General features: G+C 49.2%; 1 protein-coding gene across 3 annotated transcripts in view, besides 1 other annotated feature; it reads right to left on the minus strand.

The window, feature by feature from the left end:
• The window catches only part of SLIT3 (slit guidance ligand 3), a 639400-nt gene that overhangs the window by 18824 nt on the left and 595661 nt on the right, over positions 1-24915 (minus strand). For all 3 annotated transcript variants that reach the window (NM_003062.4, NM_001271946.2, XM_017009779.1), the window contains exons 27-32: positions 20019-20116; positions 15729-15868; positions 12044-12137; positions 6416-6553; positions 5124-5364; positions 3403-3533 (exon numbers count right to left, since the gene is read on the minus strand). In NM_003062.4, the coding sequence (NP_003053.2) occupies positions 3403-3533; positions 5124-5364; positions 6416-6553; positions 12044-12137; positions 15729-15868; positions 20019-20116 (842 nt within the window). The remainder of the gene's footprint in view (positions 1-3402; positions 3534-5123; positions 5365-6415; positions 6554-12043; positions 12138-15728; positions 15869-20018; positions 20117-24915) is intronic.
• Positions 3315-3814: an enhancer, noted in NCBI's record as "H3K4me1 hESC enhancer chr5:168110883-168111382 (GRCh37/hg19 assembly coordinates)". NCBI's record gives its function as "activates a minimal SCP1, AML or CMV promoter by ChIP-STARR-seq in naive H9 embryonic stem cells {active_cell/tissue: H9 hESC(naive)}" and the evidence as "EXISTENCE:reporter gene assay evidence [ECO:0000049][PMID:30033119]".

Here is a 24915-nt window from a genome sequence, read left to right on the forward strand (position 1 = left end):
CTCTGGCCCTGAGGCCAAGGTGGCCTTCCTGGGTGGCTAGAGGTTATTGTACTGATGCTGAGGAGGAGATCTCATTTTTTGTGGTTGGACTGGCCTCCTGGCCCCCTCGGCTGCTGGTCAGCTCAGGCTGTGCCCTCCATTAACCCCAGCCCTCCCACATGGCTTCCATGCAGGCTGATGGGGCCTCCTCCTCCCCAGGGCTTCCTCGCTGCTCAGCCTGAGAAAATGATTCTGAGGCACAGGTCATGTCTCAGCTCAAACACCACCTCCTCCTCCAAGGTCCTCCAAGCAAAAATATTTGCTCCTGGTGGGCACAGTGGCTCACACCTGTAATCCCAGCACTTTGCGAGGCCAAGGTGGGCAGACTGCTTCAGCCCAGGAGTTCAAGACCAGCCTGAGCAACATGATGAAACCCTGTCTCTTCCAGAAAAAAACAAAAATTAGACGTTGTGATGCACACCTGCAGTCCCAGCTACTCAGGAGGCTGAGGTAGGAGGATCACTTGAGGCTGGGAGGTGGAGGTTGCAGGGAGCTGTGATCATGCCACAGCACTCCAACCTGGGTGACACAGTGAGACACTGTCTCCAAGAAAACCCAAAAAACAAAAAAACTTTGCTTCATCATTGGTGTTCCTGTAGCATGACACCAGTGTCTCCAGTGAGAATGATTTGATTTTGCTGTGGAACCACTGCTTGTTGATATGTGTGTCTTCCTCCCTGGACTGTGTTTGTTTAGCTCTGTGGCCCCTGCACCTAGCCCAGGGTCTGGCCCAAACATGGGGCCTGGTAGATGTGGAATGAGTGAGAGTGTACTAATGGCAACAGAAACAGGGCTGCCTCAGGGAAAAGTGTTTGGAAGCAAAATCATTTTAATCTGGAATTGCTAGAGCCTTGGGCCCCTGAGGATTGGAAACTGAATGAAGGGTACTAAAGATCTGTTACAGGCTCAGCATGAAGATCTAGGCCAGGAGTGCCAGGGCATCCTTAGCTTGGTTTCCCTGTGGCTAAGACAGAGCCTGGTGTCTCTCCAGGGCCACCTACCTGCTCAAACTCAGGGCTCCCTGACAGCAGCTTCTGGACAGCAATTCTCTGACTTTCCATTTCATAACTCAGCACAGTGCTGCGACACTCCTACCACCCACACCAGCCTTCTACCAAATCACCAGCCCTGACAGCTAACGTCAGCAGAGGGCAAAGGCTGGGCTCTGTTTGGGAAGGCCCCCAGCTCAGGGCAGGGCTCAGCTGCTTCTGGAAGCCTGGCTTTCACCTTCTGTCCTTGACATGTCTGCGTAAAGGCTTAATCTGCCAAGCACTTCCTCCAGTGTTATTTCAACCCTCAGTGACTGCCCTAAGAGGTACATCCTGCTATTGCTCACATTACATGGGAAGGGGGAGGGGGAAAAACTGAGGCACAAAGAGGCTGAATCACTTGTTCACATCTGGATTTATGTGATAGCAAATGCTTCACAGGCTGCCCTGGCCCTGCCTCCTTGGCTCTCTGTCCTCTCCACTTGGCCAGGACCTGTGGCTCCAGGGACACAGATGTTAGGCGGCCCAGGCTCTAGGGAGACCACCAGGGTGAGCTCTTTCTTCTGGTGTCCACTGTGCCCAACTGTCCTAACCTGCCTGGTCTTTATCCACCTTCCACTGGGAGCCTCTTGCTCTGGTCAACACCCTTTTCTTTGCTCCTCATCTGTCTTTGCTGACCTCCCAGCATGCCTTGCCCACCTGTTCTCTCTGCTCTCACAAGTTCTTCCCTTTCTTCAAGGCCCAACTCAGACTGCTCTTTCTGCAGGAAGTTTTCCTTTGGAAACTGGTGTTTCCTAGACTTGTGCATTAGAATTACCTGGAAGGATCTCTGAAGCACAGGTGTGTTGGGGCCAACCCCTAGGGTTTTGGATTCAGTAGTTCTGGGGTAGAGTCTGAAAATGTGTATTTCTATCATGTCTGTAGGTGATGCTGGTGCTGCTGCCTTGGGGACCACGCTTTGAGAACCACTGGTTTTAACCAATGGCTTTCAAATTGGGTTTGTTGGATGATTTATCAGGGGCCTTGACAACAGTGTGTGTGGAGGGGGGATCTTTGCTTCAACACTGCAGGGCGGTTTTGCTTCTAAGTATTTACAATTCTTAAGTTTAATATAAGATTTTAATGGAAGAAAAGATTTAGTTAGCAGGGGGAAGAAAGTCTGAAAGTTGCAGCTCTTCACCAATCCCTATGAAATGTGCTCTTGCCTCTGAGGGGACAGTGTGGCCTCTCTTTTGTACTGTGGTTTCCCTAAGGTTTGGCTCTCCTTCTACTGGTAGTTTGACATGATTTTAGGTGTAACACAGACATTTTTAACTTTTAGTAGTCATTTTTATTACTATTATAAAAATATTTATAACTAAATTTTTATTTTAATATTTAGCATTTATTTTACTGAGAAGCTGAAAAAAATCTAACATATCCAACTAACATATCTGTGATTCCCCAGATGTTCATTCCTTAAGGAGCAGCTATATGCAAAAAGTGAGCGGTTGGCTGGGTGCTGTGGCTCACACCTGTAATCCCAGCACTTTGGGAGGCTGAGGTGGGTGGAACACCTGAGGTCAGGAGTTCGAGAGCAGCCTGGCCAACATGGTGAAATCCCATCTCTACTAAAAATACAAAAATTAGCCAGGCATGGTGGCATGAACCTGTAATTAATCCTAGTTACTAGGGAGGCTGAGGCGGGAGAATTGCTTGAATCTGGGAGACAGAGGTTGCAGTGAGCCGAGATTGCTCCATTGCACTCCAGCCTGGGCAAGAGAACAAAACTCCATCTCAAAAAAAAAAAAAAAAGAAAAGAAAGTGAGCAGTTGAAAGTTGCTGTAAGGCAGCATCTGAAGTGAAAGTCCAGCTGCCACACCCATCACACACAAGCCAGGGTGGCTGCTGGAGAGGCTGAAGTTTAGGAAAAGCTGCCCTTCAGGATGGTTTGAAAGTCACCTAAGGGGTGGCCCTGCTCCCTCCGTGCCCTTGAGTTTCTTCCCCTTGAGTTGCATGCTAATTGTGCCCTGTTGTCTTTCTTAAACTAATAAAAGATTAAGATGACATTTTGAAAAGGGCACCTCATTAAGCAGCCTCGTCCCCACTGCAGCGCGCACTCCCGCACAGTAGCCAGCTGCCTGTTTATCTTATGGTGATGAGGTGTCACCTCCCCTCTGCGGGCCTGCCTTCCTCTGCCTCTTCCTCTGACACGCCTTTCTCCCTCCCACTCACCACTCGGTGAGGAGGAAGTGTGTGTGTGCGCACATGTGCGTGGTAGGGGCGGGGAGAAGGGACACCCGAGTTCTCCTGAATCCCCCTTCTGAGTTGCAGGCCCAGAGGCAGAAGGATGCGGAGGAACACACAGTGGGTCAGGAGGGAGAGAGGCCCTTACCTGTACACTGTGGTTGGAGGGGAACTCAGGCTGTCATAGACCAGCCGCACGTGGCCCTGGTACAGCTCCAGTGCCAGGGGGTCATTGTCTCCTTTGTAGAGAAGGATGCCGTTGTCCTTGTCAGTGGCCACCTGGAGAAAGCAGCCGGGGCGTGTTAGTAAGGGCTTACCTGAGACTGAACCTTCCCTGCCCATCTCACAGAGCCCTCTTCCAGGCAGCAGCTTCTGAATCTGTGCTGCGTCTAAATTCATGTCCATCTTTCCTCCTCCATCTAGTCAGTAAATCCCCAGAAGGTAAGGCCTAGACTTACACCTCAGCAAGTGCTGACTGAGCAAACCAGTTCAACACATTTTTACTGAGTGCCTACTGTGCACCACTATGTTCATATATTAATGTATGTCAGGAGGCCCGAACTCTAATCTGCCCTCTCCCTCTGGTGCATAACATGATCCCGCCCAAGTTCAGGCCCTTCTTTGGTTTCTCTGTATAAAGAAGAATAATAAGTCTTATTTATTTATTTATTTATTTTTAGGCAGAATCTTGGCCCAGGCTGGAGTGCAGTGGCACAGTCTTGGCTCACCGCAGCCTCCACTTCCTGGGTTCAAGCGTTTCTGGTGCCTCAGCCTCCTGAGTAGCTGGGACTACGGGTGCTTACCACCACACCCTGCTAATTTTTGTATTTTTAGTAGAGACGGGATTTCACCATGTTAACCAGGCTGGTTTTGAACTCCCGACCTAAAATGATTCACCCACCTTGGCCTCCCAAAGCGCTGGGCTTACAGGCGTGAGCCACTGCACCTGGCTAATAAGAGTTATAAAGAAAATGCTAACAATGATAATTAATTCAATGTTTGCTAGGAACCAGGCACTATGCTAAGAGTCATCTGGGGAATTAAAAAAAAAATTCCAGTGTCTAGACTTTACCCCAGACTAGCTACACATGAATCTCTTGCGGGTGGGGCCCAGGCAAAGATAATTTTATTATTTATTTATTTATTCTTTTGAGACAGAGTCCTGCCCTGTTGCCCAGGCTGGAGTGCAGTGGCATGACCTCGGCTTACTGCAACCTCTGCCTCCCAGGTTCAAGCGATTCTCATGCCTCCGCCTCCCAATAGCTGGGATTACAGGCATGCACCACCACGCCCTGCTAATTTTTTATTTTTAGTAGAGACTGGGTTTCACCATGTTGGCCAGGTTGGTCTTGAACTCCTGACCTCAAGTGATCCACCCACCTCAGCCTCCCTAAGTGTTGGGATTATAGGCATGAGCCACCACACCTGGCCAAAGATAATTTAAAAAGTTCTCGAGGTGATTCTAAAGTATTGCCAAGGTTGAAAGTTGCTGGTTTCAGAAGTTGCACTCACAGCCAGCCACCCAGAATGAGATTCTTGGATTAGTGGATAGGCCTCAGACAAGGGGTTTTGTCTGTCTTGAACTGAATCCCAATTCTGCAGCACAGTGTCTGGTGTACAATAGTTGAATGCATATTTTCTGGAGGAATGAGTGAATGAGGCTGGAAGTGGGGGCTGCAGTTTGCAGCGAGAGCTGGTCAGGAGTTATCTATAGAACTCTCTGGATGAGTTGGTCCAGATGTCCTCAAGCTGAGTGTTGTCCCTGATGGTGCTTTACTGTTAAGATGGGGCATTCCAGCAATTTTCTGAACTATCAGAGCTTGTGGGCATGTTGAGGTCCTTCCAAGGGCAGGGCAGGGCGGGACACACCTGCAGGGAGATGTTGGCCTGGGGTCGGACCTTGGCGGAGGCCAGTTCCACGTAGGAGTCTTTGCCCACGAAGTTGACAGTGATGAGCTTCTCGCATCTGGGGCCGGCGAAGCCTGGTGGGCAGCGGCAGGTGGGCTCCTGCTGCACCACGATGCACTGGGCCCCGTTCTGGCACTCGTACTGGTCGCATGGGCTGGTCTGCAGTAGGACCATGGGTGGGGGGTGTTCACAGAAGGGTCCACTGGAAGGCAGGAGAGAATGGGGAGGGAGATAGGAGAATGGCCAAGAGGAGACAATCACAGTTACTCAGGCCAAAGAACCTCGAGCAGAGAGGTAGAGTGAGATGGGAAATGACACTAGTTCTAGGGGCTAGTTCCAGCCCTGCCACTAACCGGGGCAAGACCTTTTCCTTCTCTAAGTCCCATATTTCCCATTTTTAAGAGAGTTGGGGTAGCCATGGTGGCATGAGCCTGTAGTCCCAGTTACAGGGGAGGATCGCTTGTGCACAGGAGTGCGAGTTCAGGCTGCGGAACAGAGCAAGACTCCGGCTCCAAGAAATAAAATCATGGAGTTGGACTAGAGTAGAGGTCCCTAAACTTCAGTGTCATCAGAATTGCCTGGGGGTGATTTCTTAAAAGAGCACATTCCTACCCATGGAAAGATGAATGGATAAACAAAATGTGGCGCATCCATCCAATGGAACATTGTTCAGCAGTAAAAACAAAGGGAATTCTGACATACCCAACAGCATGGTTGAATCTTGAGAACACTATATACTAAGTGAAATAAGCCCAACAAAGGACAAATGCTGTATGTGTCCATTTATATAAAGCATCTAGAGTAGCCAAATTCATAGCAACAGAAGTAGAATAGAGGTTACCACTGAGGAACCATCATGTTTGTTCTTCATCCTAGAAAGAAGATTCTGGCCAGTGTGGCCATGTGGCTACCTCCACCTTGCAAGCTGGGCTTCAAGATGGTGGCATCTTCCATTAGATGGAATCCTACCCAAGCATGACATTACACAAGCTGAACCTAAGCCCAGCTTTCACGTGGAGTTGCCACAAGTAGCTCTTCTCCCATCTACAATGTGGGATTACCAATACCTGCTCTATTTCCCTCATGGGGACATGTAAGGACTGCAAAGGTATCAGGGGAATAAAGGCATCACCCAGAACCGGGGCTACAGCCACCTGGGCCTGAGTCTCCATTCTGGCCACCTTAGCCAGTCAGCCCCAGCCCCTGCCACCTGGCCCAGGCTGTCTCCTTCCTGAGGTGCCCTCCTGCCTTACCTGAAGCCCTGGGGGCAGGTGCATGTGTAGCCATTGATTGTGTCCACGCACTGGGCCCCGTGGCGGCACTTGTGGGCCACACAGTCATCATTGTCTGTCTCACAGAGCTTCCCGCTGTAGCCAGGGACACACTCGCAGCTGGAACATAGGCAGAGGCAAGGCCGTTCCTCAAGGCAAAGCCAGCTTGCAGGCAGTCACTCTCCAGCCCCCCTCAGCAGGTGGCCTCTCCCCATCTCTTCTATCTACCCAAGTTCCTTTGGGATCTGCAAAGCCTGGCTCCACAGCAGGTTTCCCTGGTGGCCCATGGCCTTTGTTCCATTCATGGTGGGGCGAGTCTTGTGTTCCAGAGCCAGGGTGAGGAACACAGGGTTGGACTCATCCAGCTTTTGGCTTGGATCTGCCACTTCCTACATGAAACTGACATTCAGTTTGGTCCTTCCTTTGGGTCAGGCACTGTGCTATGCCCCTTTCACTGAGTTCTCACTGAGGCCTCTCAGGACCCTGTAAGGGAGGGTCTACCATACTCCATCGTAAGGAAGAAACCAGAGGGCAGAGAGCACTGCAGGCACTTCCCTGAGGACCCCCACACCCCATCGAGTGATAATACTTAGTTTACACTTGCGTGTCATAAACTGTTCTAAGTGGGTCAGTCACTCATTACCTCTCTGTGTTTCAGTTTCTTCATCTTTAAATGCAATTGATAAATAACTCCACCTCTTATGGTTGCTTTAAAAATGATATGATATGCTTTGTGTAGTGCATTAAACGTTAAATATTCAACATGACATGTAGAAGATGAATGAAGAGGAATACGATACTGTTTGCACTCTGAGATTCAGACCAGGATGAGAAAGGCAAAAATCTCTTCTGCCTTAATAAGTGGCTCATATTACCTGGGCAAGAGGATGGGAACACCTGCTCTGCCCCAGGCCCTGCACACCAATCTGGCCCTTCCTAAAAGAGTGGTGCGTCAGCAATTCCATTATTGCCCCTTCTAGACAAGGTTTAAAACCTGGCCAGAGGAAGCTGCCCCAGCTAAAACCTGGCCTCCTTGAGTGTGGGCCAGAAACATGCATCTCTGGGCTCCTCTGTCTGGGGCAACATTCAACCAAAATCCCAGCATAGAAACACACCTGAATGCACCGAGGGGCTGAGTCACAGAGGCTTAGGTGCACCCACAGGCACATATAAGCAAATGCTTACTGGCGCTTCTGCCTTCTGCAAAGCCTGTGTACCTTTCTGGGCCCAACAGCTGAATTCTAGTGGGCAGGTAAAAATAATAGCCACAACCTATCCAAGTCAGAGGAGGAGGCGGCATGGCAGAAGGAGGTGACAAAGGCAGGGAGGTGAGGGTTGGGGGGAAGCAAGCTCTCTAAACTCTTAGATTGTCTAATAAGCAGCCCCACGGAAGAATCAGGGCAAAGGGATGGTTCTCCCTCATCCCTCTCCTCCCTCTCCTCTTTAGGAATGGATAGAAGTGGGGTGGAATCCACAAGTGGCAACCCCACTGGCATCGTTGTGGTTGGCAGAGCATGATGCAGGCTGTAGATTCATAGCTAGGTAAGACACGGAGGGGGTGATGTGTCCTCGACTGGAACAAGTTCCTGAAACTGAGGACTTACTGGCCTATGCTCAAAAATTGAAATCCGCTAAGATCTGACCAATTCACGTTTACTTGATTGGCAAATTTGAAATACATAACCTATTGCTGCACTGGAAGTACAAACTTACATGTTCAACCAGTCTTTTAAGGAAACACATTGAGAATGCCTTTGAGGGGCATGTGCTCAATACAGCACCATGTATACTTCTGCTACTGTGTTAAACTTGGCCCAGGAAGCCATCTGTGTGTCTCTTGAATTCTAAAAAGTAGTTGCAGAACAACTTAAGCTATATGACTTTCTCCAAGGCAATAATAGCTGGCCAATACTTACAAGATAAAATCCAATATTTTAAGCCTGGACTTCAAGGCTACTGGTGAGATCTTTATTAAGAATTAGGGAAGCTATTCTCACTCTCAGACTAAGCAGTGGAGGTCGGGAGGCAAATGTATTGACCTTCTTTTTCTTTTAAAATGCTACAGCCCTCTCAATACCAGCAAGTCTCAAACTTTAATGAGCATACAAAACACCCAGGGATCTTGTTAAAATGTGTCTTCTGATTCAGGGAGTCTGGGTGGGGCCTGGGAACTAGCATTCCTAACAAACGCCCATGTGATGCTGATGCTGCTGGTTCAAGAACCTCTGGTAGCAAGGACCTATATAGTACTTCTCCATCAACTAAAGAGAGGCAGCTGGTGCTGTAACCTGCATTCTCCATTGTTCTCAAATGCTTGCCTTTTTCTTCTAGTTAAATTTTATGCATTTTAATATGTGTTGGGTCTATTGATTCTGCACAAGGGAGAGTAACCGCATGCTGTCCTTGGTTCCAGGACATCTGGAGTCTCTGGATTTAGCTGAGAAATCAGTCAGGCCCAGACTGATTCACAGCCCCACCCCTTTATATGTGTGCATGGAGGTGGCTTATGCCACCTCAGTGAGCCTCATAAAATGTGAATGAGTTTCTACGTTCTAAGATTGTTGGATGTTGGATAATACACCTTGCCTGACAAAGAATAAGTTAGCAGTACATGCTAGTCATTGTGATCTTTCTTTTGGCTATTGTATTATGGACAGGTAGTATCTGCCCTTCATTGAGACCTCATTGAGGGAGAGGGAACGTACAAGGAGAACTCCAAGGATAAACATCTTCACACTTGGACAAACGTCACCCTGACTGTGTATCTCTTTGGCTAATATCCCTACAGGCTGCCATAGGATATGAGCTGTTTGGTGATGGGAGATGAAGGAGATAAAATGATAAAATGTTGCACTGGAAGAATAATTTTTGATTTAAACACATTTTAATGAAACACTAACATTGAGCTGGCCTGTAGACCTTTTCAAGATAATGACATCACATATAAATACAATATCTCAAGATTATGAAAGCTAGACTGATTTTATTCTTTCCTATATTGTCTTAGAACTCAAGGAACTTTAGTTACAATAGAGGTTTCTAGGAATAAGTTCTGGGGATCATAAAAACCTGGCAGTGTTAGCTCTCCAGCACTCCAACCAACCCCACACCTGCACCCTTGACCACGTTTTTGTTTTCTTTCTTTTTTTTTTTTTTTTTAGACAGAGTCTCCCTCTGTCACCCAGGCTGGAATGCAGTGGTGCAATCTCAGCTCACTGCAACCTCCGCCTCCTGGGTTCAAGCGATTCTCCTGCCTCAGCCTCCTGAGTAGCTGGGATTGCAGGAGTGTGCCCACACCTGGCTAATTTTTGTATTTTCAGTAGAGACGGGGTTTCACCATGTTGGCCAGGGTGGCCCCTAGACCACTTCTGACCAGTGCTGGTGTAAGCCTGTGTCCTCTGAGCTTGCTGTCCACTCAGCCAAGAGGCAATTTATCTCCTCTCCATGGGCAGATCCCCATTCCCTGCCCCTTCCCGGGCATGCCCAGAGCACTCTGCTTGCCTGGCCTGCTCTGCTTTGAGTTCACGTTTGCATTTACATGTCTCTTCCCACCCCTTGCCCCTTCATTCTTCCCTGTCCCCTCACAGTATCCCATACTTCGTAAAGATCAGCAGTGAACTGAAGTCAAATCAGGGGGGTGGAAGTAGGCGGGGAGGTCCTGTGAGGTATCTCTCACCCTTGTACTCAGGTAACTTGACTGCCTAAAAGTCCCACCTGGCATATCTGAGGGGGCATGGGGCAGATGAGGTAGATAGGAATGGGGTAGACACATGGAAGGGCTGAAGCTTCATTTGGTCTCATTGAGCAACCAGAGCCTCTTGGCATTTCCCCTGGTGATGAGATCTAGGCTTGTGATGTGAAAATAGAAAAGGAAGACACGATAAAAGACATGCTCATGTCTGCTTGTCACCCTTACTTACTTGCTTCTTCTTCCCCCAGTGGAGCCGTCCTTCCTTCTCTCAACCCATCCAAATTCCACCCACCCTCAAGGGTCACCCACATTCTATTCCTAAAGGGGTGGGGCTGCTTCTCTCCTCCAGCAGCCTTTTCCTTCCTCAGAACCCCAGCAACAGAGCCAGAATCGTGGGGCCTAGAACTTCTTTCTTTTCTAAATATTTGCTCAGTGTCAAATCTTCTTCCCCTAGGTCCATGGCAAGGGCCTTGAGGAGATGAATCAAAACCATCTTCCAATCCCCACTATACTCCACACAATCAAGATCTGTGGACTGATGGGTGGGCTGGCTGGAGCAACAACTAGAACTCCTGCTTCTTAGATTCTAAGATTCTAAGAGCTTACAAGTTCAAGTTTCAGAGATTCTATGATTCTAAATTTCTAAGATTCTGTGATTGGGCTTTCTGAGATCTTGGGGTTCCCTGAAGTCCTAAGTCTTGTTGTTTAGAATCATAGTCACAAATACCCCCAGAGTCTAACTCTCTGCCCTGTGACTGAGAACAGGACAGATTCTGGGTGATGACAGCTTCTGGACCCATCAAGACCTAGAGCATGAGCTTCTGGCCCCAGAGGCTGGAGATGCCACTGGTGGGCATTCTCCTTAAAGACTCATCAGCACAGGCATGGAGCTCTGGGCCCAGGGCCCTCATCTCTAGGGGAGGCTCTGTAAGGTCATTTATGGGGTCTGCTAACATCCTGGGGTCTCTCCAGTTGCCCCGGACTGCCTGTTTCCCAAAACCCTGACTCCTTGGTGCTAGTGGCTTTCCTCTGGTGTTGGACAGAGATTGCTGGGAGAAGAAGGAGGCAGCTGGGTGTAGAAGGCAGCACTGGGGTTGGGAAGAATGTTTTTGGCCACAGAGTTCTGGGATCTCCCTCTCGATGTCAGAAAACCCCCAGTCTCAAGGGTCTCACAATCTTCTCTAGAAGAGGCAGTGGCAAAAGCTTTCATGAAGGAAGGTGAAAGGAAGAGATGAGTACAGGGCCTGGGAGGGATTTCCCAGGAGTGCCATTGGATCCTCAGCCTCAAGAGCTGCATGGCTTTCTGACCTGAGGCAGCCTCTCCATCCACCCTTAGGGCTGCTCACGTGCTCCCCTGGCTCCTATGGGCTCTGCTGCTCACCATGGAGACAGCTCCGCCAATGGCCATGCTGCTGGACCACAGTGCTCCTGCCCCCTTCCCCTGCAACAGGTGCATAAGCTGAAAAACTTGCTGTAGACTGGAGGGGCAGCGTACTGCAAAGGCTGCACATGGAGAAGGTGACCAAATACCCTTTAGACGCTGCTTCCCCAGTGGAATTGCTCTACTTCTTTAGCTCTAGAAAGGAGGGATATGCTGAGAGTACTGGGAAGTTGGTAGGAGAGGAGAGGCAAGGAAGAAGGGGCAGGGAAGAGAAAGAGTGGATCTTTCTCTCTCTCTGTCTCTTTCTCTCTCCCTACCTACCTGTCTATCTACAGAGACTTAGAGACACCCACAGACAGACAGAGGCACGCATAGGGAAACAGACTGAGATAATTAGATCATGGCTGAATCAGAGATGCAGAGAAGCACATGAGAGAGAGAGAGAGCATGCAGAGAGACCAGAGACTGCCTAAAACCTAGACTGTTAGAGGCAGAGTTTTCATGGACTCTGTGCTGGGGGCACGAAGCCAGGTCTTACCTGAATCCTTTGTCCAGGGGGATGCACTTGGCCTCATGCTGACAGAGGTTCAGCTCAGGCACACAGTGGTCAATCACCTCGTCGCATAGCTCACCTGGCACAGATGGGGGAGATAGCTCAGGCCTCAGGCAGGGTAGGGATGCCCTGGCCAGAAGATCAGAGTACTAGGGGGGATATCCTGGCCAGAAGATCAGACTCATCCAGCCCCTGGTCAGGTGGGCATGGACGTCAGGAGTCCTGTGTTCTCACTCCTTGTGTATCCTCCTGCACCTCTGCCTTGGTTTCTTTGGCAGTGACCACGGGAAGATTCCAGGTGTCCTCCTGGACACTGTCCTAGCATCACCATTTGGCTGTTTTACTTGATCTTTCAGGGGCAGGGGCAGGTGCAGCTGAGAGCACAGGATGCCTGGCCCTCACTTTGGGCCATGCTTATTCATTTGTTTTTTCATTCCACACTTATTTACTGAGCACCTCCTGTGTGGCAGGTACTGTGCCAGGCACTGGGGACACAACAGTGACTGGGTCCTTTCCTACCCACAGCCTATTTGGGAAGATCTACAAATAAGCAGGCAATTACAATACAGACTTGTAGGTGTGACCAGAAGGGCAAACTTTGTGGAAGCACAAGGGGGACCCATAACCTCCCCCAGGAGGTCAGAGGAGGCTTCAGAGACACAGACAAGGCTTAGCAGCCCAGTTCACCTGTTACAGAAAAGTAAGCCCCTTGGATTTTTCAGGGAAGGAAGTATGAAAGGAATTTGAAGTTCTGGTCTCTAGACACATTGCCTTTGAAGTCTGCAGTGCTACAAAATACCTAACGGTCATAAACACCCAGGGATGGCCCTTGCAGATAAGCCCTGAAAAGCTTACACCACCTGAAAATGTGTTTTAGGAATGTGGGGGAGGGCGGTAAGGCAGGACAGCAGCTCCCAAGCAACACCAGCTTTTAAGATCCGAGTTTTGGGTTTCCTCAAATTCCACTAGGTCAAGCCAGATGGAGAGTGATCTAAGAGAGGGAAAGGTCTAACCATGAACGTTCTCTCCAGGAATGGGGTGGGAGCAGGGCGGGGAAAGCTGCCTTAGCTCCTGCTCCCAGGGTATAGGCAGGTAGGTCCAGAGGGCTGGCTGCAGGGTAATGAGTAACAGATAGCCCCTAAGTCTGTTCTTTGCTATGGTGGGGAGAGGCTGACCCCAACCATGTCCTGGGAGGGAGCACTGAACCCCTCCCTCTCCAAATTTTGCCTTCAGCCTCTCAAGACCACAGAAGGCACTATGTTCCTGAGAAGCCTCCTCTTTCTTGTCATCTGGAGACACCCAGAGAAGCAGACAAGTATCTGTGTGGGACTTGCACATTTTCTGGGACAGAGCAAACCACAAAGCCTCATTCTGTACCTGAGTTTCCCGGGAATGAATTCTAGTTGACACTTCCTAGCTGCTTGACCTTGACTTTGGCAGTTGTGGAGATTAAATGAGATTATACAAGCACTCACTCTCAGGACCAAAGTGCAACAAATCAGCAGTGCACCCTGGTCAACGGCAGACACCAGGTAGGCCTCAACTGCGGCAGGAAACCACTTCATCAATGCCTCCTCAGTACCCTCCTGCTGCCCATCTGCCTGCTCTAAATTCAGTTCAAGCCCCTCCCCTGCCACAAAGCCTTTGTTAGAGCCCCACTGCCCTCTCCATTTTCACTACTGGGATTTCTGTCATCTCTCTTCTGGCACTAAGCTGATTCTTCTTGACCAATGACTCAACTCTATACAGTGATTCTTTTCATGGACCAGAAGCCCTTGTGGGCTGAGGGCATACCTTAGATTTCTTGGTCTCTCTAAGTGGCTAATTTAGTAGTCTGTATACAGTAGGTGCACAGTAAGTGTTGCCTGTTGCTAATGCAACTCTTGGCTACAATTCCGCTCTCAGAAGATGAAAGAGGGAAGGGGAGGTAACCCCTCAGCAGTCAGTCAGTCAGTCTTTCTCTCTCTCTCTGTCTCTCTCTCTTTCTTTATCTCTCTCTCTTTCTTTCTTTTTTTGAGACAGAGTTTTGTTCTGTCTCCCAGGCAGGAGTGCAGTGGCAGGATCTCAGCTCACTGCAACCTTCACCTCCTGGGTTCAAGTGATTCTCCTGCCTCAGCTTCCTGAGTAGCTAGGATTACAGGTGCCCACCACCATGCCCAGCTAATTTTTGTATTTTTAGTAGAGCTGGGGTTTTGCCATGTTGGCCAGGCTGGTCTCGAACTCCTGATCTCAGGTGATCTGCCTGCCTTGGCCTCTCAAAGTGCTGGGATTACAGGCGTGAGCCACTGCATCCGCCCCCACAGCAGATTTCCATGCACTTTCTCCCAGCACAGAAGCTTGTCTGGGGTCCTAGGAAGCCCAGGATTATTAGAGCAAGTGGTTTTCTCAGTTGGTGGTGGTACGTTCCTACAGTTTCAAGAGTGTACTTGGGGATACTGTCTATGGGCTGGAGGCTTGATAAAGGTATGGGCTATGAGGGACAATGGGAGCCATTTGGCTTCCTTCTCTGCCATCTTCAAGGATGCTTCTATTCATCTTCCACAGCTTCCCACCACCCACTTCACTCCTGACATAAAGGCCTGGTTCCAGTAGTCCAGGACATGGGAGTCCCTGAGCTTCCCCCTCCTCATTTTCTCCTTGCCTTAGGCTGGTATTTCCTAAAAGTGCTTCTTGCAACACAGGATCGCTGGGCTGGGAATAGTGTTCGAGGATGGGGAAAGGGGAAGCTCTGAGATCAGATAAGTTTGGGAACTGCTGGGTTAAACAAACAGCTTTCTTTAAAGCAGGAATTTTTGGAACCTCTAATATGCTTATTTGTATCATGGTACACCAAGAAGAAGGTTATTATTATATGCAGTGCTTCCCAAACTTCTTGTCTCATGGGGATTTTTCCTCAAATTCATGGAATTCCAGTCTGGGATACGCTACTTTGGTTGATCTCATAACAAAGCGGGCTGTGTTTGCACCAAAATTGGTAGCATTTTGCTTCACAATCTAATGATATATTTAACTGTCCTTTTTAGGGGTTATTAATGTAGGAAAATAAAGGTTTTGTGTTTGGGGGGTAGGTGGGTGGAATGATCTTCCTGAGGAATGCTCTCTTGTGGGAGCCTTCCTGGATTCTCTGGCTGGGTTAGGTTCCTTCTGTGTGATCCCACACCCCAGGGCTTATAGATGTTATGTTCTCTTTCTAATGAATCCACGCCTCTGTCCACCTGACTATAAACTTCTTATGAGAAGGAACTCTGTCTTGGTCATTTTTGTATCCCTAGCTCCTAGCTAAGTGTCTGGAAAATGTGGATTTCAAGAGACGGTTGACTAGACCTGAAGGAAGCATAAACACAATGCAAGCGCCTCTCTGCCAGCCTCAAACACCACTAGGTCTACAGGGGCCCTAAAGGATGTAATGGCCAGCAATGAGATGAACAGCAGCTAAAGAGCCTGGGACTCTGTTTCAAGTGGGAAGGAGCAGTGATTTGCTGGTGGCTGGTGGTGGAGGACACGGAGAAGCAAACAGGCCTTTGGGGAGCCCCTCTTGGCATATCACAGTCTTGGGGTCTTAGTCTCTGTCCTCAGGGAGAGAGGAAGAGAGTCCCTGGAGGAAGTTAAGAAAATGGTATTCTAGCGACACCCCTCCACCCCACCATACATACAGTCATGAGATCCTTACCTGTGTAGTTAGGCGGACAGATACACACGTAGTTGTTGATCCCGTCCACGCAGGTGGCATTGTTTTCGCAGTCGTTGTCCTCACAGTCATCTGGGTTGATCTCACACCGCTGCCCCTCAAAGCCCAGAGGGCAGGAGCAGCTTTGGGATGTGAGGGGTGGAGAGCAGGGGAGTCAGGGGTCAGGGAGAGAGGTGGGTTGGGATGGCAGAGAGGAAGACACGGGTGGGAAATACAATTAGTTTTTCCTCCAGATGGAGGTCTGAGAAAGCACTTTGGACACATGAGGCCTTGGGGTCCTGAGCAGGAAGACCCTTAGGAACCTAAAAGGTCATTTCATCCAACCCCATCTCCAGGCAATGTTCTATCTCCCCTGGCCCATGCTGGCTGCCTCGCTCTGGGGCTAATGTCCACCAACAAGGCCGGTGTCATCATTCCCCCAGCTGGAAGTGGTTTCCTGGATATGGCTTAAATTCCTCCAGCTGTCCTCCAAACTGCCCTCCCTTTGGCTCTTCTGAGGCACAATCTCTTTTGCAAATAAAGAGAGACAGCATAGTAAACATCCTCCTTTAAGTGATTTTTTTACTCAAAGGCAGCCCTTCTATCTCAGGGTGAGGGGGTGGGCAGAATATAGTGGCCAAGGTCCCAGACTCTGTACCCAGGTTTCCTGGGAATGAATTCCTGTTGATACATTCTAGCTACTTGACCTTGACCTGGGTGGTTGTGAAGATTGAGATTATACAAGCAAAATGTTTAAAAGGGTACATAGCACATAGAAAATGCTCAGAACCCATTAGCAAGCTATAGTTCTACACAAAACCACCCTACTTCCTTAACTGTTCTTCAGGGATGCCATTTCTTCCCATCATGTATTCTTGCTACTTCTGAGCCCCTCCAGCTTCTGGGGGATGAAGGCTAGAGTGGGAGGATCCCTCGCCTGCCAAGAGTGAGGCCTTCGGGTCAACTTGGCTTCAAACGCTGTGGGGCGGCAAGATGCATTTCCTTCACTTGTCTCTAGAGTGTTAAATCTCTTGGATAAAAACCTCAACTGCCTGCATCTCTGCCTGATCTTGGTCATATCCCCAGGACTGGGCGTGCAAGATCGGTTAGAACAGATAAAGGCCATGCGGAAGGGATGGGAGTCGGGGGTGGAGTGAGCATCCATCTGATTAAATAAATGCTGCAATGAATCTCGATCTTTCTTTGGCCTAACCCGTTTGTCAGGGATTCTCACTCCATCTATGAGTGTGCGCTTCAGCTTCAGATCTGGAATTTCAGGTTTCAGAGATTGCTCTGACTTGGGATTTAGCTAAAAAAGTAAACTACACTCAGCTAACAGGCAGTGAATTTCAGTGGTCCTAGAATCCTACTTAATTGGTCTCCTTTCTACAACTGAAAACCATATCACATTTTCTACAAAAGGCCAGGGGCCTCTCAGGTCTCAGCTCTTGGGGTACAGCAAAATGACTCATTCTTTTTTCCTGTTAGGGACTCTGGGCACTCATGAAAAAGGCTACTTCTTCAGAGCCAGACAGAGGGTAGGTTTCTGAAAGTCCTAAACCATGGTGTTGCCCATTTGTTTTTCTAAAGACCAGTTACTTTGGCTCCCCCAGAGCCTTAGGGCTACCTGGCAGTGAGATATGGTGGCTGGTCGAGGAAAGAGAGGTTGCTAAAGGAGTGACAGGGTGGAAGGAGGCTGATGTCTCCCTGTCTTCATTGGAAACCTTGGAGAGCTGTCCAGGAGACTCCAGGTGCCATGAGTTGGTTGTGGGGATGAGAGCAGATCTCATCTCCTGTGTTGGTCTTCTGTGGGGCCTGCTCTGCCAACCTTTGCTGTTTTTGTGAGCAGGCAATGCAGCAAGATTAGAGAAGCATGTGTATGAAGAGGCTGGTGATGCTGATGACTAAGACCTGTTATGGGTTGAATTGTGTTCCCCCCAAAAAAGATATGTTGAAGTCCTAACCCTGAGTACATCAGAACGTGATCTTATTTTGAAATAGGATCTTTGCAGATGTAATTAGTTAAGTTGAGGTCCTACTAAAAGAGTGTGGACCCCTAATCCAATATAACAGGTGTCTCTAAAAGAAGATGGTCATGGGAAAGCAGACACAGAGAGAGCACTGGTGACTATGCAGGCAGAGAGAGGGGTGCTGCAGCCACAAGCCAAAGAATGCCAAAGATTGCCAGGAACACCAGAAGCCAGGGAGGGACAAGCAAGGACCCTCCCCTAGAGGCTCAGAGGGAGCATGGCCCTGCTGACACCTTGATTTGGAACTTCTATCCTTCAGAACTGTGAGAGAGTAAATTTCTGGTGATTACAGCCACCCAGTCTGTGGTTATTATGGCAGCCCTAAGGAATTACTCTAGAATGGAAGAGGGGAGCAAAGGGGAGCTTCCTGACAAGCACCACTCCCCTTCACCCACCAGGTGCTGGCCCGATGCAGAAGAGTTTCCCTATTCCTTGAGGACTGCATACGAGCTCTCCCATCCCTAGTAACTGCCTCATTGCCTTAACCTTCCACCCCATTTCCCTGATCCTGTAGATCTGGGCCCTTTTCCTTTTACATTAAGTTCTAAAAATATTTTCTGTTCATCTGAAACTCTTCAACAACTTAAGATGGAAATGAGATATTTCTGCTCAACCGAACCTCCAGCTGAGATGGGAGAAACACAGTTGCCTGCAGCGGGGAGCTCTTCCCTCATCTGACCCCCCCAATCCCTCGCCTGGGTGGGGCAGCCCAGGCTGTGTGCCCTGGAGGGGTGTTTCCTGGCTGGGGCCCCGTGGCCACCTCCATGTTTCCCTGCAGTTTCTTCTCACCCCTGCTCTATGTGAGCCAGCAGGAGTGGGTGGTTTGGCTGACTCCAGGCAGGAAAAGGAACTCTGCCTTGAATTTCACTTTTCAGGAGGCAGAGTTTGATGGAGCTGGCTTGGCAGGTGGACACGTGGGCGGGCGGGTTCCCGGGGGAAGAGAACCGGGAGCCTGGAATTTGATTTCTTCCCCAGACCACACGGCAGCACTGGCCAGAGTGCTTTTGATATTTAATTGGTTGCAACTTGAGCTCTAAGACACCCACACATGGCTTGGCATGGGGTGCCCCTGCCTTTATTGCCAAGGGGCTGCCGCCTCCTGACTGGCTCACCAGGGATGCCAAAGGAGCCCGTTCCCAACAGTCTGCTTTGGTCAGAGCCACAGGCCAGTGAAACTGGGCATCTAAAAGCTGCTGGGGAAGGTGGGAAGCAGGAAGGGGTCCTGAGGTTGGGTGGAAGCCAATCCCATTCCTAGGACAGGGAGGAGAAAAACCTAAGTGACTTCTATTCCCTTTTCTTCTTGAAATGTTAATGTCAGGAAGGAAAGAGGGCTGGAGGTGGGCCTGGAAGATCCAGGAATGAGCATCAGGAGATACGACCTAGAGCAAGTCCATTTCTGTGTCTCAGCTTCCCCATCTGTTCAATGAAGATAATACCTACCTACTGGATAGGGTCTGTAGGGATTTAAATGAGAAAATACTTGACTAGTTGGTACCTGGCATAGTGAGCATATAATAAATGCCACTTATTTTATAACTCAGAAAAGCATGGTGGAAGTGCCAGACGGGCAGTCTTTAAGCCTTCACCCAATCCTTCTCTGACTTTAGCCAGCAGCAGACACCTCCCTTGGAGGAAGCACGAGGTTGGGACCTGGTTTCAAATCCCTGTGCCAATGCTTAATGTAACTCTAGGCAGAGGATTTGTCCCTCTGATGCTTGAACTTCCTTATCTGCACAGTGGGGATAAATTGTACTTCCCTTACAGGGTGCGAAGAGCCTTGAGATCATTCTCATACAGGGCCAGCACAGCACGGGCACTGGGCACGCCCTCGCTGGTCGTATCTCTGCTTCTTTAGCCTGCCCAGGGAGCCCTCCAAGGTGAGTGATATGGTTTGGCTGGGTCCCTACCCAAATCTCACCTTGAATTATAATAATCCCCAAGTGTCAAGGGTGGGGCCAGGTGGAGATAATTGAATCACGGGGGCAGTTTCTCCCATACTGTTCTCATGGTAGTGAATAAATCTCACCAGAGCTGACGGTTTTATAAATGGGAGTTCCCCTGCACAAGCTCTCTTTTGCCTCCCGCCATTTAAGATGTTTGCTTTTCCTTTGCCTTCTGCCATGATTGTGAGGCTTCCCAGCCATGCTGAACTGTGAGTCCTTTAAACTTCTTTCCTTTATAAATTACCCAGTCTTGGGTATGTCTTTATTAGCAGTGTGAGAGCAAACTAATACAGTGAGGGAGGCCAGGGGTGAACTGTTACCTGAACCCATCCTTGTGGCTGTCACTCAGGTGGCAGGTGCCTCCATGCTGACAGGGGTTCTGGATGCAGGTGTTGATGGGCACAGTGCAGTCCTTGCCCTGAGGAGCAAAAGAGGGAGAAGCACCTGGTTAGGGGGACTTCTGGGGCTGCCATGGCCCAGGGGACTCCAGGGGTTCCAGCATTCTCTGTGATGAGGCTGGGGAGATGACAACAAGGAGCCCCTAGGAAAGGCCTGCTGTGTGACTTGGAGCCCACCCATGGGAGCCCTAACCCCTAGTCACTGGACAGTAAGAAGGGGAAGAGTGATGAGAAGCCAGGAGTTCAGGTTCCAGCCTCACTACTTCGCAGAATTTGCACCCTTCTGTATCCCAAACTGCAGGGCAAGAGCCCAGGCTATGGATTCAGGCAAAGCTGAATTCACATACAGCTGGTTTCACATTCCAGCTCCATCCCATCTGGGTTGGCTGATCGTGACCTCATAAAAGCCTCTTGACCTCTCCAAGTCCACCTCACAGGGTTGCTATGAGAATTAAACTTGAGCTTTCATGTAAGGAAAAGTTTCATGTAAGGAAAAGGTTACACGTGTGTAATCCACCTAGCACATAGTAGGCATTCTGTAAATGCTAGAAGATAACATTACCATGAGCCTCACTGAACCTTAAATATAACCCACAACTTGAGTAGGGAAGACTAAGGCTGAAGTATGGCCAACAGACCTTGTCTCCTACAAAGTGACAACCCCAGAGAACCATCCTTGATTGATCTGGAGTGGGGTCCAGGCTTTGGTATTCTAAAGTTCTGAAGGTAAGCCTAAGGTTAGGCCAGGTGGGGAACCTTTGCGATAGAGAACTCAGGGTGGTGTGGGATTCTTTGGAGCAGGCCCCTCTGAAGGGGACGTGTGAGCTGAGAAGGAGCCAACTGTGTGGAAGGTGGGGAGAGGAGCGTGCCAGGCAGCAGGAGCAGTGAGGGCAGCGGCCCTGAGGAAGGCAGCCCCAAGGTGGAGACTGAGCTCCATGAGACCCACTGTCCCAGGGAACAGCCCGACTCTTCTTGGCCTTCTGGCTCCTGCTTCTCCTTTGGGACTGACAGACCAGTCTCACCCAATGCTTGGCATGGAGTCCCTTACAGGACCTGGTAGCGTGGGGCCTGGGGAGGTGACTGCTGCATCCTTTCTGGGCCCTGGGCTCAGTGGCTTGGCACAGACCTGGTGGAGGTGATCATGGGAGCCCACCCACTGCCACACCACCTGCTCGCCATCTGCCTGAGAAAATCCTCTTCCCTCTTCTGCTGTTGCTGGTGATGTGATGGAATGGAACTGGGGCTTCCTGGCTGCGACGCTGCAGCCAACTGGGCTGAAGGCCTTGGGCCCAGGACAGCCTCTGCTGTGGACCCTCTCAAACACCAGAGCCTCAGGCCCATCTTCAGCAGCTGGAAGGCATGGGCCATGTCCGTCTGGTTCCCTTCATGCCCTGTCCCAGCAAAGGGGCCAGTCAGAGGTTTCTTGGAGGGGGACAGGGAGAGTGCAGTTTGGGCTGGTATCTGGTTTTATCCTAAACCATAACAACACAGGGCCCCTTTCTGAAAGTTGGTGTGGAATGGAAACTGTAATACTAATTCTCACCCACTTTGCCGAGCACATTTTCCGTTCCAGGCCTCATGCTAAGTGTTTTATATTCATGATCGCATATCATGTTCACAACAACCCTATGAGATTGGTGTGATTGTTATTACACTATTTTTACAGACAGGAAAGACAGACTTAGAAAGTGAGGTAATATGGCCAAGATCGCACAGCAGTAAGTGAAATGGGGAGCAAGCAGCTGAACCCAGGCATCCAGCCCAAAGTTAGTGCTGGGAGCCTCTATGCAGGACCACTTGGCTAGCCCCTCTCAAAACATGCGTTCTAGGGGCACACAGATGGGAGTGCACATTCTAAGTTGGCTGCTGTGTTCCTTGAGGAAATGACTAGTTCTCTCTGAGCCTTGTTTTTACCACTTATGAAATGGAAATAATATGAACTACCCTATGGGGAATTAGTTAATGGTTATATATGTAAGACACCTAGCATGTAATGGCAGCTCCATAAATAATAGCGATGATGATGATGATGATGATGATGATGATGATGATGATGCTTGGGGTCTGAGGCAGGGCTGAATGTGAGTGACTAAAATACTTTTTCAGGTCTTTGGTTGGTGCCAAGTAGTTCCAGAGGTGCATATATGAGAGTGGTGGTGGCCAACACATGGACCGTGAAGGGCAGGACAAAGAACCTTGAGAAGGTCAAGGCAAGACCTCTCTAGCCCCTGCCTGGGTTAGCCCCTGCTCTGGGGAACTGGTAAGTACCAGTGACTCCAGGTCAAACCCTCCCAACTATGGCGGTGGTGGTGGAGGTGGTGGCAACTCCTGCAGCCCTTTACGCCAAGCACAGAAATCCAGGAGGCAGAGCCTAGCGCTTGATGACATGGTAATTGGGCCTGGAAGTGGGGATTTCTGTCACTTACCTCTCCTTGAAAAATAATCACTATTGCCAACGCCTGGTTAATTAGCCTGATTCAATTCTCTTCAGCCTCATTTTGCTCAAATCTACCAGATTTGTGGTGCTCCTTGGTCCTCCACCACACTTTCTACCCCTCATCCCACTTTGTGTGTGTGTGTGTGTGTGTGTGTGTGTGTGTGTGTGTGTGTGTGTGTGTGTAGGACATGGCCAGGAATCCTGACTGGCTTCCTTTAAAACAGGTGTCCCCAACCCCTGGGACATGGACTGGTACCGGTCCCCGTTAGGAACCAGGCTGCACAGCAGGAGGTGAGCAGATGGGGCGGGAGCATTACCACCTGAGCTCCGCCTCCTTTCAGGTCAGCCGTGGCGTTAGATTCTCATAGGAGCACACACCCTACTGTGAACTGTGCATGCGAGGGATCTAGGTTGCACGCTCCTTATGAGAATCTAACTAATACCTGATGATCTGAGGTGGTACAGTTTCATCCTGAGACCATGCCCACCACCCTAGTTCCGTGGAAAAACTGTCTTCCATGAAACTGGTCCCTGGTGCCAAAAAGGTTGGGAATCAACCTTTAAAAGACACTGGGGGCTGGGCGCAGTGCCTCACGCCTATAATCCCAGCACTTTGGGAGGCCAGCGTGGGCGGATCACAAGGTCAAGAGATTGAGAACATCCTGGCCAACATGGTGAAACCCTGTATCTACTAAAAATACAAAAATTAGCTGGGCGTGGTGGTGGGCATCCCAGCTACTCAGGAGTCTGAGGCAGGAGAATTGCTTGAACCCAGGAAGCAGAGGTTGCAGTGAGCCGAGATTATGCCACTGCACTCCAGCCTGGCAACGGAGTGAGACTCTGTCTCCAAAAAAAAAAAAAAAAAAAAAAAAAAGACACTGGGAACAGCTGCCCTCATTGGAAACCTCTTTCTGAGATCGCACGAGGAATGCTGCTAAGTCCTTACTTCTCAAAGCGTGCTCCTTGGACTAGTGGCACTGGCATGTCCTGGGAGCTGATTAAAAAAAAAAAATGCACACTCTCAGGCCTGACCTCGGATCTAATGAACTAGAACTTGCATTTTAATAAGCTCTCCAGTGATTCTTATGCACACAAAAGTTTGAGAAGCACTGTTCTGAGACATTGAACATATGTGCCTGAAACTAAATGGCTGAAAAAGAATCAGCCAACAGATATATTTTTTCCCCAAATCTTAACATAATGGCAAAATACTGACCCTTTGTGAAGTATCTACTGAATCCTGGCACTGAGGTAGGCAAAGTACACACACAGCCCCTTTTCATCCTTCCAACAGCCCTGCACATGAGTATGAGTATTCTCAGTTACAGGTGGGGAAAGTGAGGCTTAGGGAGAATCTGACTTGGAGTGGTTGTGAGTGTAGAGACTTTGTTGCAAGAGATAGCTGAGCTCTGGTTGTAGCTCATGCACTTCCTAAGTGTGAGAGCTTGGGTAAATTATTTCATCTTTCTGAACCTTAGTTGTTTCATCTATTAAAAGACGATAATAAAACTTATTTCACAAGGTGATTAAGAGTACTACAAGAGATAATGTGTTTAAACTGCTTCACAAAGGCCTGGCATTATAGTAGATTAAGAGTAGCTGCTACCAAATGTTACACAGTGATTCCTGTGCTTTTTTATAATATTGTGGCTTCCCAAGGTCACTCAGCTAGTCAATGGGAAAATGGAGATACCTGGAAAGAGGTAAATGCCTGAACTTTGAGCTTGGTTTTGTGGGTATCTGGGGATTTCTGTTAGCCACTCATGCAGAACTACCATCTTAGTCGCTCTGTTTGGGCGGGCTCTAACCCCGGCAAGAAGGAAAGCAGGGACATAGCACAGAGAATTTGATGCAACCCTCAGTTAAAGGATCCCTTGGGTTCAACCTCCTCCATTTTACAGCTGAGGAAACTGAGGTGAGGAGAAGAGCGAGTTCTGTCCAAGGTCATGCATCACATAGGCACAGGCTCCAGAGGGTCCTGCTTGGTGTTCTTCCCATGGCTACACTCTACTTGTCTCTAACCTGGAAATTCAGACAGGTCCTAAATAGTCAGGGATCTTCCACCTTAGCCCCTGCAATCACTGCACTTGCCAACAGGCAGTGAGTGCAGTGGCCAGGAGCACAGCTTCTAGAGTCAGTTGGTTCTGAGCTTTGAATCCCAACTCCCTTACCTACCATGCTCAGTTTCTTCAACTGTAAAATGAGGGTCATTTTAGGAACTGTATTCTAGGGCTCTGATGAGGAGTATGCAAGATAATACATGTACCTTATTTAGTCTACTGTCAGTACATAGTAGATACTCAATAAATGCTGGCTCTTATGTTACTGTTATTATCATAGTTATCATCATCATCACCACCATCTGTACCATTAGCACCATTA

Source organism: Homo sapiens, chromosome 5 (genome assembly GCF_000001405.40).
Source record: "Homo sapiens chromosome 5, GRCh38.p14 Primary Assembly".
NCBI classification, from domain to species: Eukaryota; Metazoa; Chordata; class Mammalia; order Primates; family Hominidae; genus Homo; species Homo sapiens.